This window comes from Homo sapiens, chromosome 2, assembly GCF_000001405.40.
Source record: "Homo sapiens chromosome 2, GRCh38.p14 Primary Assembly".
Lineage (NCBI taxonomy): Eukaryota > Metazoa > Chordata > Mammalia > Primates > Hominidae > Homo > Homo sapiens.
The window spans coordinates 33,038,804-33,057,988 of record NC_000002.12 but is presented as its reverse complement, the minus strand read 5'-3'; the positions used below and the strand labels follow the sequence as shown (position 1 = coordinate 33,057,988).

The window sequence follows — 19,185 nt, the reverse complement described above, 5'->3', positions numbered from 1 at the left end:
GAGGTGACAGCGTGCTGGCAGCCCTCGCAGCCCTCGCTCGCTCTTGGCGTCTCCTCGGCCTTGGCGCCCATTCTGGCCGTGCTTGAGGAGCCCTTCAGCCCGCCGCTGCACCATGGGAGCCATTCTCTGGGCTGGCCGAGGCCGGAGCCGCCTCCCTCGGCTTGCGGGGAGGTGTGGAGGGAGAGGCATGGGCGGGAACTGGGGCTGCACGTGGTGCTTGCAGGCCAGCTAGAGTTCCCGGTGAGCGTGGGCTTGGCGGCCCCGCACTCAGAGCTGCCGGCCAGCCGTGCCGGCCCCGGGCAGTGAGGGGCTTAGCACCTGGGCCAGCAGCTGCAGAGGGTGCGCCAGGTCCCCCAGCAGTGCTGGCCCACCAGCTCTGTGCTCTATTTCTCGCCAGGCCTTAGCTGCCTCCCTGTGGGGCAGGGCTCGGTACCTGCAGCCCACCATGCCTGAGTCTCCCCCACCCCACCGTGGGCTCCTGTGCGGCCTGAGCCTCCCCGATGAGAGCTGCCCCCTGCTCCACGGCGCCCAGTCCCATCGACTGCCCAAGGGCTGAGGAGTGCAGGCGCATGGCGCGGGACTGGCAGGCAGCTCGACCTGCGGCCCCAGTGGGAGACCCACTGGGTGAAGCCAGCTGGGCTCCTGAGTCTAGTGGGGACTTGGAGAACCTTTATGTCTAGTAAGGGATTGTAAATACACCAATGAGCACTCTGTATCTAGCTCAAGGTTTGTAAACACACCAATTAGCACCCTGTCTCTAGCTCAGGATTTGTGGATGCACCAATCGGCACTCTGTATCTAGCTAATCTGGTGGGGACTTGGATCATTATGTCTAGCTAAGGGATTGTGAATACACCAATCAGCACTCTGTCTCTAGTTCAAGGTTTGTAAATGCACCAATCAGCACTCTGTGTCTAGCTCATGGTTTGTAAATATACCAATCGACACTCTGTATCTAGCTAATCTAGTGGGGACGTGGAGAACTTTTGTGTCTAGCTCAGGGATTGTAAACGCACCAATCAGCACCCTGTCAAAACGGACCAATCGGCTCTCTGTAAAACAGACCAACTGGCTCTCTGTAAAATGGACCAATCGGCAGGATGTGGGTGGGGCCGGATAAGAGAATAAAAGGAGGCTGCCTGAGCCAGCAGTGGCAACCCGTCCGGGTCCCCTTCCACACTGTGGAAGCTTTGTTCTTTTGCTCTTTGCAATAAATCTTGCTGCTGCTCACTGTTTGGGTCCACACTGCCTTTATGAGCTGTAACACTCACCACGAAGGTCTGCATCTTCACTCCTGAGCCAGCGAGACCACAAACCCAGAAGGAAGAAACTCCAAACACATCTGAACATCAGAAGGAACAAACTCCGGACACGCCACCTTTAAGAACTATAACACTCACTGCGAGGGTCCGCGGCTTCACTCTTGAAGTCAGTGAGACCAAGAACCCGCCAAATCTGGACACATTTTTGCAACCACGAAGGGACAAGAAGAAGACGCGCATCATCCCTCATCACCTCCAGCTGGCAATTTGCAACAACAGGGAACTAAACAAGCTGCTGGGCAAAGTCACCATCGCCCAGGGCGGCATTTTGCCTAACATCCAGGCCATTCTGTTACCAAAGAAAACCGAAAGCCACAAAGCCAAAAGCAAATAAATGCAAACAAAACAAAACAAAACTGCAGGCGGTTTTGTCTTTCAGATGGGAAACACTCAGGCATCACAGGCTCACCCTTGAAATGCATCCTAAGCTATTGGGACCAATTCGACCCACAAACCCTGAAAAAGAGGCGGCTCATTTTTTTCTGCGCTACGGCTTGGCCCCAATATTCTCTCTCTGATGGGGAAAAACGGCCACCTGAGGGAAGTACAAATTACAATACTATCATCCTGCAGCTTGACTTTTTCTGTAAGAGGGAAGGCAAATGGAGTGAAATACCTTATGTCCAAGCTTTCTTTTCATTGAGGGAGAATACACAACTATGCAAAGCTTACAAGTTACATCCCACAGGAGGACCTCTCAGCTTACCCCCATATCCTAGCCTCCCTATAGCTCCCCTTCCTATTAATGATAATCATCCTCTCATCTCCCCTGCCCAGAAGGAAATAAGCAAAGAAATCTCCAAAGGACCACAAAAACCCACGGGCTATGGGTTATGTCCCCTTCAAGCTGTAGGGGGAGGGGAATTTGGCCCTACCCAGGTACATGTCCCCTTCTCCTGCTCTGATTTAAAGCAGATGAAGGCAGACCTGGGGAAGTTTTCAGATGATCCTGATAGGTACATAGATGTCCTACAGGGTCTAGGGCAAACCTTTGACCTCACTTGGAGAGATGTCATGCTACTGTTAGATCAAACCCTGGCCTTTAACGAAAAGAATGCGGCTTTAGCTGCAGCCCAAGAGTTTGGAGACACCTGGTATCTTAGTCAAGTAAATGATAGAATGACAGCCAAAGAAAGGGACAAATTCCCTACTGGTCAGCAAGCTATCCCCAGTATGGATCCCCACTGGGACCTTGACTCAGATCATGGGGACTGGAGTTGTAAACATCTGTTGACCTGTGTTCTAGAAGGACTAAGGAGAATTAGAAAAAAAGCCCATGAATTATTCAATGATGTCCACCATAACTCAGGGAAAGGAAGAAAATTCTTCTGCCTTCCTCGAGTGGCTATGGGAGGCCTTAAGAAAACATACTCCCCTGTCACCCGAATCACTCGAGGGTCAATTGATTCTAAAAGATAAGTTTAATACCCAATCAGCCACAGATATCAGGAGAAAGCTCCAAAGGCAAGCCCTGGGCCCTGAACAAAATCTAGAGGCATCGTTAAACCTTGCAACCTCGGTGTTCTATAATAAGGACCAAGAGGAACAGGCCCAAAAGGAAAAGCGAGATCAGAGAAAGGCTGCAGCCTTAGTCATGGCCCTCAGACAAACAAACCTTGGTGGTTCAGAGAGGACAGAAAATGGAGCAGGCCAATCATCTGGTGGGGCTTGTTATCAGTGTGGTTTACTAGGACACCTTAAAAAAGACTGTCCAGTGAGAAAAAGCTGCCCCCTCGTCCATGTCCACTATGCCGAGGCAATCACTGGAAGGTGCACTGCTCCAGAGGATGAAGGTTCCCTGGGTCAGAAGCCCCCAACCAGATGATCCAACAACAGGACTGAGGGTGCCTGGGGCAAACACCGGCTCATGTCATCACCCTCACTGAGCCCCGGGTACATTTAACTACTGAGGGCCAGGAAATTGACTTCCTCCTGGACACTGGTGCGGCCTTCTCAGTGTTAATCTCCTGTCCTGGACGACTGTCCTCAAGGTCCGTTACCACCCAAGGAATCCTGGGACAGCCTGTAACCAGGTGTTTCTCACACCTCCTCAGTTTTAATTGGGAGACTTTGCTCTTTTCACATGCCTTTCTTGTTATGCCTGTAAGTCCCACACCTTATTAGGGAGGGATATATTAGCCAAGGCTGGAGCTATTATCTACATGAATATGGGGAACAAGTTACCCATTTGTTGTCCCCTACTTGAGGAGGGAATCAACCCTGAAGTCTGGGCATTGGAAGGACAATTTGGAAGGCTAAAAAATGCCCGCCCAGTCCAAATCAGGTTAAAAGATCCCACCATTTTTCCTTATCAAAGGCAATATCCCTTAAGGCCTGAAGCTCATAAAGGATTACAGAATATTATTAAACATTTGAAAGCTCAAGGCTGAGTAAGGAAATGCAGCAGTCCCTGCAACACCCCAATTCTAGGAGTACAAAAACCGAACGGTCAGTGGAGACTAGTGCAAGATCTTAGACTCATCAGTGAGGCAGTAATTCCTCTATATCCAGTTGTACCCAACCCCTATACCCTGGTCTCTCAAATACCAGAGGAAACAGAATGGTTCACAGTTCTGGACTTCGAGGATCCTTCTTCTGTATTGTCCTGCACTCTGACTCCCAGTTCCTCTTTGCCTTTGAGGATCCCACAGATCACACGTCCCAACTTATGTGGATGGTCTTGCCCCAGGGGTTTAGGGATAGCCCTCACCTGTTATTTGGTCAGGCACTGGCCCAAGATCTAGGCCACTTCTCAAGTCCAGGCACTCTGGTCCTTCAATATGTGGATGATTTAATTTTGGCTACCAGTTTGGAAGCCTCGTGCCAGCAGGCTACTCTAGATCTCTTGAACTTTCTAGCTAATCAAGGGTACAAGGTGTCTAGGTCGAAGGCCCTGCTTTGCCTACAGCAGGTCAAATATCTAGGCCTAATCTTAGCCAGAGGGACCAGGGCCCTCAGCAAGGAATGAATAAAGCCTATACTGGCTTATCCTTGCCCTAAGACATTAAAACAGTTTGTGGGGGTTCCTTGGAATTACTGGCTTTTGCCGACTATGGATCCCCGGATACAGCAAAATAGCCAGGCCCCTCTAATCAAGGAAACCCAGACGGCAAATACTCATCTAGTAGACTGGGCGCCGAGGCCGAGGAAGCACCGAGAGCGAGCGAGGGCTGCGAGGGCTGCCAGCACGCTGTCACCTTTCAATAATACTCATTATGATACTATAATGATAGATAGATGTCATTATACATTTGTCCAAACCCACAGAATGTACAAAACCAAGGGTGAACCCTAGGACTTTGGGGAATAATGATGTGTCAATGTAGGTTCATCATTTGTAGCAAATGTACCACTCTGGTAGATGTTGACAATGGGAGAAGCTATGCCTATGGGACGGGGAGAGGGGTTGCAGGGGCCAGGGTATATAGGAAGTCTGGACCTTCCTCTCCAATTTTGCTGTGAACCTAAAACTGCCCTTAAAAACTGAAATCTTTTAGGCCAGGCGCGGTGGCTTACGCCTGTAATTCCAGCACTTTGGGAGGCTGAGGCAGGCAGATCACTTGAGGTCAGGAGTTCAAGACGAGCCTGACCAACATAGTGAAACCCCGTCTCGATTAAAAATGCAAAAATTAGCTGGGTGTGGTGGTATGCACCTGTAATCCTACTCGGGAGGCTGACGCAAGAGAATCGCTTACACCCAGAAGGCAGAGGTTGCAGTGAGCCGAGATCACACCACTGCACTCCAGCCTGGGTGACAAGAGTGAGACTCCATCTCAAAAAAAAAAAAGCCTGTTTTAAAAACTATATTTTGATCCGGGAGTCAACCTGAAAGAGCTTACAATGACTAAAGATGGAACAATTTGAGCAAGAAAATAATAATATAACCTGAAGAATAAAACAAATGAGGCTAAGGTACTACAACTAAACGATTAAATAAATACAAGGGTGAAAAGGGAGAAATCCTCCATACAGAAAACTTACAAATAGTATATGAAGATACATTCTCCTCAATAAACCAATTTCCCTTAGGATCACACTTTCTTCTTTACTTGGGCCTCTATCTTGGCTCTACGCATTTTCTTTTAGACAATAAGTTTATTGCCAACAAAATATGTAGTTGCCAAATAGTAAATCCAGTCCCTAGACTCACATGTAACACTAGATTTTAATTATTTCGGTTTTTAAAAAAATCCATTTCTCTTAGCGTTCAATAATAGGGGTTTGGTCTGGTTCCTATTTTCCCATTCACTTACAGAGATGATGTTTAAATATGTTTAAATAATCTAATTCAGTCTTAGCTAGGTATGAACAATATTAAAATTGGTTTACCATTTTAAAAAGTAAACATTAGAGGACACCTCTTCAAAGAATCACTGCATCACTAAATATTTTTTCCAAATACCACACACCCAAGTATTTGGCAATCGGTAAACTTTGGAATGAGAGAGCTCATGGGTTTTTCCCATAGCAACGGTCGAATGACGTGGCCCTCCACTGGACACCCAGAAAGCTGCCCTAGTCCTGGCTAAAGTCTCAAAACTCTGGACAGGAAAGTACATCGAAGTCCTTACCAGCCTTTCCACCCAAGGCACAGCTATGAGACCAGGCTGTAACCCTAAAAGTCAATGACTATAAAACTTGACTGAGACATGCAATGCTGACTCCCAGCTTTGCACACACATCTGTTTAAAATTCAAATGGCTTGTGCAAACCATGGATCGGTATTCAAATAAAACTTTTAAAGAGACTGTATTCATTTAAAAAGGAAATGAAAGTATGTGCCTATGTCTTTGGGTTCTACATTTCCTGGGGAGAGTTGATAGGCCTTCTAGGACTTAGATGGTAGTAAGCCTAGCAGATTGAGCAAGATGTAGAAGCAGACATAAAGTGGCTTTGAATGAGTCACCAACATCTCAGGGCCCTCTCCACAACACATGAAGCCAGCTCTGCAAACCCAGAGCAGCTCTGCACACTTCACACAACTTGGCAACACAAGCACTGGGAACCCAAGAGCAGCCTCAAGGGCAACTGAGCCATCAGAAACAAAATCCAGCTCTGAATGGCACTCCGGGGCCATGCAAATATTTAACAGGCACATCTAGAGAATTCTCAGTCTCAATTAGGAGAGGACCACCACAGTCAGAATGAAGGGGGCTGCCTAACTGCCTCTCAAGTCTCGGGCAATCCTCACTCAGTAATATTGCAGAGGACTACAGTTTTGTGTGTGTGTGTGTTTTTTTTCTTATTTTAGAAACACGATCTTGCTCTGAAACCCAGGTTGGAGTTAAAGTGGCATAATCACAGCTCATGCAGCCTCAAACTCCTGGACTCAAGTAATCCCCCCACTTCAGTCTCCCAAGTAGCTAGAACAACAGGCACACACCACCACACCCAGCCAATTTTTGTATTTTTTGTAGAGACTGGGTCTGCCTACATTGACCAGGCTGGTCTCGAACTCTTGGCCTCAAATGATTCTCTTCCTTCAGCCTCCTAAAGCGCTGTGATCACAGGCACAAGCCACCACAACGGGCGGGGACTATAGTTTTTACAGCACTTCCTTCTGCCCCAACTCATGGAGCTTCACAATCATGGTGTGAAGAATTACCATGCTCATTTTCTGGCTGAGGAAACCTCAAGAGTTTCAGGCCGGGCGCGGTGGCTCACACCTATAATCCCAGCACTTTGGGAGGCCAAGGTGGGTGGATCACAAGGTCAGGAGTTCGAGACCAGTCTGGCGAAACCCTGTCTCTACTAAAAATATAAAAATTAGCTGGGCATGGTGATGCCCGCCTGTAATCCCAGCTACTCAGGAGGCTGAGGCAGGAGAATCGCTTGAACCCGGGAGGCGGAGGTTGCAGTCAGCCGAGATCATGCCATTACACTCCAGCCTGGGCAACAGAGCGAGACTCGGTCTCAAAAAAAAAAAAAAGAGAGTTTCAATAATTTGCCAGGATCATAAAGCCAGAATGGAATAAAGAGGAAACCTGAACCCAAATGTTCTGTTTCCAGGCCCAGGACTCTTAGACACTATCTGTAGCAGAGTAATACTTCAAAATTAATGAAGTTTTGAAGTACTACTTTGCTTTAAACTTAAGGATCCTCTCCTATTTTTTTTAAAGCAGAGTTCTCTATGTTTTTAAATACTCCATAATAGTTCATTAATTTGAGCATTTTTTTGGTGTCTAATGTACAGGTGAGTTGTGTGTACTCTTTCTTGGAATCTGAAATTTCTCCACATGGAGAAAGATTCCGATCCTACTTTTTACCTTTTGACATCTACTCAAAGAATAGAAGTTCCTCTACCTGTTAGGTCCTATAGATACATCTCAACCCATATTGTCACCTGAATGTGCTACAGATAGTTTCTAAGAGTCCTGGGCTTGGAAACAGAACATTCCTCAACCCCTCAGAAACCAGGATGATTTTATTAAAAGGTTCTCAGCAGGTTTTTGTCTGTAGACCAATGGCCACCTATTTGGATCATACACCGTTCTAGGGAAAAAAAAAAAAAAGAAAAGAAAAGAAAAAAAAAAAAATGCTTACGCCTATAATCCCAGCACTTTGGGAGGCCAAGGCAGGAAGATCGCTTGAGGCCGGGAGTTCGAGACCAACCTAGGCAACAAAGCAAGATGCTGGCTCTACACAAAATTTGTAAAAATTGGCTGGGCGCAGTGGCCCACACCTATAGTTCCAGCTACTCAGGAGGATGAGGTGGGAGGATCGCTTGAGCCCAGGAGTCCCAGGCTGCAGTGAGCTGTGATCACACCACTGCACTCCAGGCTGAGCAACAAAGCAAGACTCTGTCTCATTCAAAACAAAAAAAAAGAAAAAAAAAAGCCTAACCTCCAAAATATACATTATTTACAAATTATATGCATGTTCTATACCAGGATTAGAGAATCTCAAAGTTCCTTCTAGCTTTGCTGTTAACACTTCTGATTGAGTATATATTCTAAAACTACACTGTCTATACAATATGTACATCACAAAACATACTCAAAAATAGAAATTTGGAAGGCTGAGATAAAAATGAAATTTAAATTTTTTTAAGTAGTTTTCCTTTATTAACCCTTTTTATCACTAAAAATGTTTCTTAGTGACTGCGGCATGATTGAATGGGTTTCATTTTTTTAATCTTGGTTTAACACTTACTGATATGGCAATTCAGAGGTCTCATTTTAAGTCCAGTATATGTTAATATTTAGTTTTAGTGTCCGGCCTAGCTCAAAAGAGATATTTGAAAAAGACACATTGATGCAAATGGAAGAAATGTACTTACAAAGTCATAACACTCATATTTCAATCTCATACACTAACTACTCAAAAGCTTTTTGGCTAAAATTAGTAACTTTCCATTTTCCCCAATGTCATTTCATTGGTCTTACAAACTTATTGGAAAATGTTACATTTTGACAAATTTTTATTGGGTTTTAAACTCTCCGGAAGATTTTAGTTTGTTTCCAATATTTTTAAGTATGCAAATATGAGTTAACATGTAACGCACACCTATTGTTTTTAGGAATGAAAATCATGTCACAATGGAACTATTTCTGTACATTTATTTTACAAGTGCTCTCTGTGTAGCACCAGATCACCAGATTTTTTTAAAGGTTACTTTCTTATTCATTGTTAATGTATCACCTCTACTTTGAAAGGACAGATTATGAGTATTAACTTTTAAATTATCTGCAGGGCAACAAGACCACTCATAGCTAAATATCATGCAGAAGGCCAGCAATTTCAAAATGTTTGTCTTTTATAAAAAACATTCTTAACTCACATTCAACAGTTCCTTTAAGATATCTGCTCATTAGCATCTGTGGTATTAGAGATTATCAGCATCATTCTCAATCTCATTATTAAATACTGTAAGATTTTTTGGCTATTTAATATCCTATCATCTGTAAGTCTACCTAATCAGGTAGAGATAATCCTCTCTGAAGAGTCAGCCCCTGTCAACGGAGCACACACGCTTCCCTCGAAATGTCCAGCTGTGAGCAAGGCTGCAGATCTTCTGGCATCTGGACCACAGGAAGGACCAGGGTCAGTCTGGATGTCGACTATTATACAGGTTGATTTCTATTTTTAGACAGAAGTAAACATAAGTACAACATCTATTCTTTTTTTTCTTCTTGCAGCCTTAGTGGAATGTCTCATGCTCCTCTGAGTGTGAGTACTTTGCTGTGGAAAGCAATGCTATTAGGCATCAATGTGCCTGGTCAACATTTAACTTTAATAACCACTTCTAATCCAGTCACCTGTTTTTCTCTACTATTAGAAGACAACAGGATTATTCCTCTCCAAGAGAAATTTGAAGGATTTTTACTGCACTCCCAGAATCCTCTGAAGGTTCTGGATGTCTTTCCTGCTAGCACTCAGCCAGTACTCTAAGGAATGGGTTCAGTTACAGTCACACAGCTCCTTGTACTAAATAAGCGCTCTTCATCTCTTTCCATGAAGACCAGTCACTGCCTGAAATCCTCCTCTGCTTCTGAATGTCTGTTTTATTCTTATCCTTACAACAGATCTCTGAATCAACCACTCCAAAATGGTGTCAGGTAACAACACAATGCCTGCAACAATGCTACGGCTCTTAATTTATGCAAGGTTCATCCCTTGTGGTTTAAAAAAAAACTTTTTCCATCTCACATGCAAAGACACACATAGGCTCAAAATAAAGGGATGGAGGAATATTTACCAAGCAAATAGAAAACAAAAAAAAAAGCAGAGGTTGCAATCCTAGTCTCTGATAAAACAGACTTTAAGCCAACAAAGATCAAAAAAGACAAAGAAGGGCATTACATAGTGGTAAAGGGATCAATGCAACAAGAAGAGCTAACTAACCTAAATATATATGCACCCAATACAGGAGCACCCAGATTCATAAAGCAAGTTCTTAGAGACCTAAAAGAGACTTAGACTCTCACACAATAATAGTGGGAGACTTTAACACCCCACTGTCAATATTAGTCAGATCAACGAGACAGAAAATTAACAAGGACATTCAGGACTTGAACTCAGCTCTGGACCAAGCAGATCTAACAGACGTCTACAGAACTCTCCACCCCAAATCAACAGAATATACAATCTTCTCAGCACCACATTGCACTTATTCTAAAACTGACCACATAACTGGAGGTAAAACACTCCTCAGCAAATGCAAAAGAACAGAAATCATAACAAACAGTCTCTCAGGCCACAGTGCAATCAAATTAGAACTCAGGATTAAGAAACTCACTCAAAACCGCACAACTACATGGAAACTGAACAACCTGCTCCTGAATTGACTACCGGGTACATAACGAAATTAAGGCAGAAAGAAGTAAGTTCTTTGAAACCAATGAGAACAAAGACACAACGTACCAGAATCTCTGGGACACATTTAAAGCAGTGTGTACAGGGAAATTTATAGCACTAAATGCCCACAAGAGAAAGCAGGAAAGATCTAAAATCAACACCCTAACATCACAATTAAAAGAATTGGAGAAGCAAGAGCAAACACATTCAAAAGCTAGCAGAAGACAAGAAATAACTTAAGATCAGAGCAGAACTGAAGGAGATAGAGACACAAAAAACCCTTCAAAAAATCAATGAATCCAGGAGCTGGTTTTTGGAAAAGATTAATAAAATAGATATACAACTAACCACACTAATAAAGAAGAAAAGAGAGAAGAATCAAATAGACACAATAAAAAATGATAAAAGGGATATCACCAATGATCCCAAAGAAATACAAACTACCATCAGAGAATACTATTTGACTTCCTCTATGCAAATAAACTAGAAAATCTAGAAGAAATATGAATTCCTGGACACATACACCCTCCCAAGACTAAACCAGGAAGAAGTCAAATCCCTGAATAGACCAATAACAAGTTCTGAAATTGAGGCGGTAATTAATAGCCTACCAACCAAAAAACGTCCAGGACCAGACAGATTCACAGCTAAATTCTACCAGAGGTACAAAAAGGAGCTGGTACCATTCCTTCTGAAACTATTCCAAACAGTAGAAAAAGAGGGACACCTCCCTAACTCATTTTATGAGGCCAGCATCATCCTGATACCAAAACCTGCCAGAGACACACAAAAAAGAAAATTTCAGGCCAATATCCCTGATGAACATCAATGCAAAAATCCTCCATAAAATACTGGCAAACTGAATCCAGCAGCACATCAAAAAGCTTATCCACCACGATCAAGTCGGCTTCATCCCCGGGAGGCAAGGCTGGTTCAACATATGCAAATCAATAAACGTAATCCATCACATAAACAGAACCAACGACAAAAACCACATAATTATCTCAATAGATGCAGAAAAGGCCTTCCACAAAATTCAACACCTCTTCATGCTAAAAACTCTCAATAAACTAAGTATTGATGGAAAATATCTCCAAATAATAAGAGCTATTTATGACAAACCCACAGCCAATATCATACTGAATGGGCAAAAACTGGAAGCATTCCCTTTGAAAACCATCACAAGACAAGAATGCCCTCTCTCATCACTCCTATTCAACATAGTATTGGAAGTTCTGGCCAGTGAAATCAGGCAAGAGAAAGAAAGAAAGGGTATTCAAATAGGACGAGAGAAGTCAAATTGTCTCCATTTGCAGATGACATGATTGTATATTTAGAAAACCCCATCGTCTCAGCCCAAAATCTCCTTAAGCTGATAAGCAACTTCAGCAAATTCTCAGGAAACAAATTCGATGTGCAAAAATCACAAGCATCCCTATACACCAATAATAGACAGACAGAGAGCCAAATCATGAGTGAACTCCCATTCAAAATTGCTACAAAGGGAATAAAATACCTAGGAATACAACTTACAAGGGATGTGAAGGACCTCTTCAAGGAGAACTACAAACCGCTGCTCAAGGAAATAAGACAGGACACAAACAAATGGAAAAAACATTCCATGCTCATGGATAGGAAGAATCAGTATTGTGAAAATGGCCATACTGCCCAAAGTAATTTATAGATTCAATGCTATCCCCATCAAGCTACCATTGACTTTCTTCACAGAATTAGAAAAAACTACTTTAAATTTCATATGGAAACAAAAAAGAGCCCACATAGTCAAGACAATCCTAAGCAAAAAGAACAAAGCTGGAGGCATCATGCTACCTGACTTCAAACTATACTACAAGGCTACAGTAACCAAAACAGCATTGTACTGGTACCAAAACAGACATACAGACCAATGGCACAGAACAAAAGTCTCAGAAATAATGCCACATATCTACAACCATCTGATCTTTGACAAATCTGACAAAAACAAGCATGGGGAAAGGATTCCCTATTTAATAAATAGTGTTGGGAAAACTGGCTAGCCATACGCAGAAAACGGAAACTGGACCCCTTCCTTACACCTTATACAAAAATTAACTCAAGATGGACTAAAGACTTAAATGTAAGACCTAAAACCATAAAAACCCTAGAAGAAAACCTAGGCAATACCATTCAGGACATAGGCATGGGCAAAGACTTCGTGACTAAAACACCAAAAGCAATGGCAACAGAAGCCAAAATTGACAAATGGGATCTAATTAAACTAAAGAGCTTCTGCACAGCAAAAGAAACTATCATCAGAGTGAACAGGCAACCTACAGAATGGGAGAAAAATTTTGCAGTCTATCCATCTGACAAGGGCTAATATCCAGAATTTACAAAGAACTTAAACAAATTTACATGAAAAAAAAACCAAACAACCCCATCAAAAAGTGGGCAAAGGATATGAACAGACACTTCTCTAAAGAAGACATTCATGCGGCCAACACACATGAAAAAAAGCTCATCGTCACTGGCCATTAGAGAAATGCAAATCAAAACCACAATGAGATACCATCTCATCCCAGTTAGAATGGCAATCATTAAAAACTCAGGAAACAACAGGTGCTGGAGAGGATGTGGAGAAATAGGAACATTTTTACACTGTTGGTGGGAATGTAAATTAGTTAAACGATTGTGGAAGACAGTGTGACAATTCCTCAAGGATCTAGAACCAGAATTACCATTTGACCCAGCAATCCCATTACTGGGTATATACCCAAAGGATTATAAATCATTCTACTATAAAGACACATGCACACGTGTTTATTGCAGCACTGTTCACAATAGCAAGGACTTGGAATCAACCCAAATGCTCATCAATGATAGACTGGATAAAGAAAATGTGGCACATATACACCATGGAATGCTATGCAGCCATAAAAAAGGATGAGTTCATGTCCTTTGCAGGGACATGGCTGAAGCTAGAAACCATCATTCTCAGCAAACTAACACAGGAACAGAAAACCAAACACCACATGTTCTCACTCGTAAGTGGGAGTTGAACAATGAGAACACATGGACACAGGGAGGGGAACATCACACACCAGGGCCTGTCAGTGGGTAGGGGGCTAGGGGAGGGATAGCATTAGGAGAAATACCTAATGTAGATGACAGGTTGATGGGTGCAGCAAACCACCATGGCATGTGTATACCTGCCATGTTCTGCACATGTATCCCAGAACTTAAAGTATAATTAAAAAAAAAAATACTTTTTCCTTTAACAACTCTATTTCATAAAAGGTCTAAATGCTTTCCTTTTGAACATTTTTAAAGGCTTTTGAAGAAAAAAAAAAAACGAACAGAAATCTATACTGTGAATATAGAGTCTAAGAGTCAGTGGAATCACCTGACCCACTGCCTCCCTTTCCTTGAATAGGGCACAGCCTGCCTTCTCCACCCTCTACAAGGGCTCTCCTAGCTATCCCTTCCTTTTTGCTTAAGCCCTCCCTCTTCATGACTATGTGATTGCATTAACTATTTAAACACCGTCTCTCATTTTAGTCTCTTCCCTTCTCTATGCCTGGTCCTCCACCGCCTGGTCCTCCACCACCAGATAAATTTCCCAAAATGTTATTTCACCTGTGTTGCATTCTCACCCTCACTTATGGCTACTCCCCTAATAGGAATACTTCATGTAAAACATGCTCAGCCAAATTCCTTCTTCTACTTCCTCCTCCTCTGAGCAATTGCTTACAGATTTCCTCTCCTCTTGGTCCATCAAATACTACCTTTCCATCCACAGCTAAAACCGGCCATTCTAGCCTGAAACACTCTCTCCCTCCACCACCCTCCTCTGGACTTCATGGTCTGCGCACGTGGCTCCTGTCTTCTCAAAAAGATCATAGCTTACACTCTACTGTCTTCTCCAAAATATAGCATGGCAAGATGCATATATTAGACCCAGCCTATAAATTTTGGTTTTTATTAAACACAATAATATACGATTTTTTATAATTATAGTTACATAATCAGGAACATATTATCTGAGGTGGTTCTTTTAATAAGTAAAAAAAAAAAATTCTTGACCAATTATTATAGACTCATTATGTCAGGAAGAGAATCAAAGCTGTTATATACAAGAGTTGAAAAGGCTCTGGGCTCAATCCCACTACTTTAATGTATACCTAATTTCATCTGACGCAGGACTTCCTGCCATAATGTTTTCAAGCTGAGACATGGAACATTTGCTGTGCCATCACTGTAGTGAATTTGCCAATCTCACCCTCTAGAACAGCGGTTCACAGCCGTTTGGGGATTATAGGCCTCCCTGAGGCTGAGAAGAGCTCTGTAACCATTCCCCATAAAAATACTCATGTACACAAACTGTGTAGACAGTGCTGGGGTGCAGGTAGTCAGATGCCCAGAAGGCCTTAAACCATAGGCCTGGCTGTTTTTTTTCCCAATGGCACAAGGCCTGCAAGTCAGAGACAGGAGGCAGGGAGTGTTTTAGCTTTATATAGACTCCTTCCCAAAACAGTTTTTACATAATCAGCCAAATATTTTTTTAAAAAATACCAATTTATTAGCGTAACAACATAAATGTCAAAAATTGCCGCCTATTGTAAATATCTAGGCATAGATCAAGGCATTCTTACCTTTCCTAAAAGTATCTGCTTAGATCAGTCTGGATGACAAAATAATGTGACCTCATCTTCAGTGACAGAAACCTCCCATTGGTCTGGCCTCCTCCAATTTTGGGCTGAAAAGGATGGGAATTGGGCCTTGCAGTGTTTTTTGCTGTTGTTGTCCAGTTGCTTTTCTCATCAGAGTAAACCATCCCTTTGGCATGTCTAATCCTTCCAGCTTCCACTGGCAACCAAAAGAATCCCTGTTTTCCCTTTTAGACTGAAGATCAAAGTCCCTCCTGAGCTTTTTGGCTCCTATTTCTCTCCCTTTGCTCTGTCCTCCTGTTTCAAAATCACACTGAGGAAAAGCACAGAAAAAACCTCATCTTCATCACTCTTGCCCCAGTCGGGATCAAAGTCCATTTTAGTTTTCCCTGGCAACCACTCCTAGAGCATGTTGTTTGAAGCATTTTATAAACTGTTTATATCAAATGTACTTGAAACCTAATTAACAAATTCCTGAAAAGAAAGTTCTGTTAAAAGTTAGTCATATCAACAAGTAAGAAAATAAATAGCACAATTAAAAACATGGGCTAAAGGTCCACTTCACCAAAGAAGATCTATGGATGGCAAGTACGCATATGCAAAGATACTCAAAAGCATGTGAAAAGATTGATCACTAGAAAAATTCACATTAAAAGCCCAATGAGCTACGACTATACACCTATTAGAATGGCACAAAGAAAAAACTGACAATACTAAGTGCTGATGAGGATGTGGAGCAACTAAAACTTTCATACACGGCTGGTAAGGAAACAAAATGGTATAGTCACTATAGCAAACAGTTTGGTAGTATCCTGTAAAGGATACACATACCATTATCACTCTCAGCTACCTCACCTCTTCAAATAAATGCAACTAGATGCATCTGGTACATATCTTTATCATTATAATTATATATGTGTGTGAGCAAGAGAGAGACAGAGGGAGAGACTGAGACTTCCAGTAAACTGTGGGTTATTTAAGGGTGACTATCCTGCCTTATTTATCTGTTTATGCCCTAATACAAAGGTTGACACATAGCAGGTGTTCATTAAGAGTTTGCAGAATAAATAAAGGAATGAATGCTATTTATCATGTGCTCCATTCCAGATTAGGCACTGGGAATACAGAAAAGACACAGTCTGGGCCAGGCACGGTGGCTCACGCCTATAATCCCAGCACTTTGGGATGCAGAGGCAGGTGGATCACAAGGTCAGGAGTTCGAGAACAGCCTGGCCAATATGGTGAAACCCTATCTCTACTGAAATACAAAAATTAGCTGGGCATGGTGGCGGGCACCTGTAGTCCCAGCTACTTGGGAGGCTGAGGCAGAAGAATCGCTTGAACCCAGGCGGCGGAGGTTGCAGTGAGCCGAGATCATGCCACTGCACTCCAGCCTGGGCGACACAGCGAGACTCCGTCTCAAAAAAGAAAAAAAAAGAAAGAAAAAGAAAAGACACAGTCTGTATCTTTAGATAGCCATCTAGCTAGAAAAAATAAATAAACAAATAATAAAGAGGCCTGACCCAGACAAGACAGTGAGCAACACAAGACTCTACTCGGTGGGCTATGTGGTATGGTGGTAGAGACCTCTTAATCATTCTTTGAGGTCACACAGGCTTGGGTTCAAGTCTAATTCTCACTTACTAGCTGTCATTTTGGCAGGTTACTTGACTCTTCTAAAGAAAACTAATTTTCCAGATCTATAAAAGGAAGGTATTAACGGTGGGGTAGTTGTGAGGCAGTCTGACAGTCAGCTGGTAGGTACCAGCACAGTGTGACCATTGTAAAATTGTCAGACTTCTTCCATAGCAAATGGTAAAGAGCTGCTATCCTGAGTCTCCCAGGTGTCATTATCATCCCACCAAACCTCCCTCAGACCTCCCCGCCACACAGCACAAGCACTAAGGGAATAACCTCCAGAAAAGCAAGTGACCCTGCACTGCAGCCGGCTCTGTTCCAACTGCTCTATGCCTGTGCTGTCCAGTAAATAGTTCAATCATCTGAATGTCTCCTGTCACAAGTAATGCATGCAAAATACCTGACATTACCATTCAAGGGAGGATATGACAGGCAGGAACACAAAGTGTGGAGCAGAAAAGGAGCAGGAAGAGGGAAGAGACAGTGAGGCGTGGATTGGAGAGCAGTGACATATGTGGTTGAGGAGGCAGTAGATGAACGTGTTTACCAAGGGCTTTGAAATGAGTTTAGGTTCTGTGGAGTAGGAAAAGGCACATCCCTCTTCTTGGAACTCCCAGATCACCTGCTGCAAAGCTCCTCTCATTACCTTTATTACAAAGAAATATTATTCTATGCATGTACACATATGCGCAGAATGCAGGTATGTCTTCCACTGACCTGTGAGCTCCTTAACCACCAGGAAGGGTCTGCTAATCGTCATGTGTGTTGGCAGACAGCGCTCTCAGGAGCTTGAGTTTCTCATACCCACTGCTCCAAGCATCTGGGTCTACACTCACAGTTGGATGCCCTGTGAATTCTCTCTGAGCAGCCCTCTCCTGCTTTCAGGATCTCACTAACTACTGATTACTGCCTCCCATAATCAAGACCCAGGATCTCAAACCACTGCTTACCCTTCAAGTAACTCTTGCTCATTTTTCTTCCATACCAAGGAATGAAATCTCTATGGGCCTCCATGCCCTACTCTACCTAGCCTTCCCCAACCACTCCCAGATTCCAAAACCGGTCCCATTCGATCTCTCTTTTCTGGCTGCTCCTTGATTCCTCCCCTGCACTCCCGAGATTTTACACCTACTCTCCTTCCTCATTTTGGTGCAGTCCCAATCTAAATCACACACAAAACCAAGCTTCGTCATCTAAAACCTCAACCGTAAGCAACCATTATCAGCTTTCCCTTGCCCAGAACCTGCCTTTCCGAACCCATTATCACTCCAGTACTGACCCTGTTATAATAAACTGATGGTTATCAAATTCCAACTCAGATTCCTGAAAAAGAAATACAGGGTAAAAAAAAATGTTTAATTCCATTCACTCCCTCAATTTAATTTAATTGACTATGATTATATTATTATGGCCCCCCACAAACACAACATATAATTTCTCAATGATTTAGACAAGTCTGGGATTAGAACTGGTCAGCCAAAAATATAGTTGATTTTAATTTTGGTTACAAAAGATATTTTACTTGGTGTCTCGATATATTTGGCAATGCCCTGCAGGCTGCCAAGTTACAGGTGGCCACTGCAAGGGATGAGTCTAAAGCAGAATTAAAGATGATAAATGTAGTATAAGAGGTAAGAAGGACACTCAAGATGGATACAATACTGTTTCCCCTTATAGCTACCAAAGCTACCAAAATTCATTCAGGAGTATTTACAGCTTAAAAAATATATACAGGTGGGGTTTCTCTCTCCGAAAGAACAATTATGGGTTTTGGTGTTTTTTTTTTCTCCTGTCAGATGCTACTGGAGTAAAAGCAACAACTATGCATTTGCCCCTTTCCTACCCCTAAATTACTATCCATTTACTCTTCCTAGAATGATAATGAACAGAACTTCAATTTTCTCTCATCAAACCCTCAAAGAGAAGAGTGGGATTATAACACACAAAGGCCAATTTAACCTCTGAACACACTAATCAGTACTCTTCGAGTACATGTTTGTGAGAGCTAGAGACTGCCCAAATGAAACTACTGAGCAAAATGAAGAACCAGGAGATGAGATTTCACAACTAGGCTGGGGACAAAAAGACAAAGGGCGGGAACTGGAGGCAGAGCCCTGAGCGCAGATGTCCCAGGCAGGTGCCCAGAGGCAGGCACCCAGAGGCAGAGATGCGAGAAGCAGCCCCAGAGGATCCTACACATCTCCCAGGCTCACTGGCCACTGGTTAGATGAGGCTCTGGCAAAAAAAAAGACATTTTCCTAAGACTTCTCATGTCATAAATG

The 19,185-nt window shown here is 42.9% G+C and overlaps 1 protein-coding gene and 1 pseudogene across 38 annotated transcripts in view, besides 1 other annotated feature; one reads left to right on the top strand and one right to left on the bottom strand.

Moving 5' to 3' along the window:
- Window positions 1–19,185, bottom strand: part of LTBP1 (latent transforming growth factor beta binding protein 1) — a 452,557-nt gene that overhangs the window by 341,521 nt on the left and 91,851 nt on the right. The window lies entirely within an intron of this gene.
- Window positions 1,392–1,893: an enhancer, noted in NCBI's record as "NANOG hESC enhancer chr2:33281163-33281664 (GRCh37/hg19 assembly coordinates)". NCBI's record gives its function as "activates a minimal SCP1, AML or CMV promoter by ChIP-STARR-seq in primed H9 embryonic stem cells {active_cell/tissue: H9 hESC(primed)}" and the evidence as "EXISTENCE:reporter gene assay evidence [ECO:0000049][PMID:30033119]".
- Window positions 1,481–1,692, top strand: H2ACP2 (H2AC histone family pseudogene 2; annotated as a pseudogene).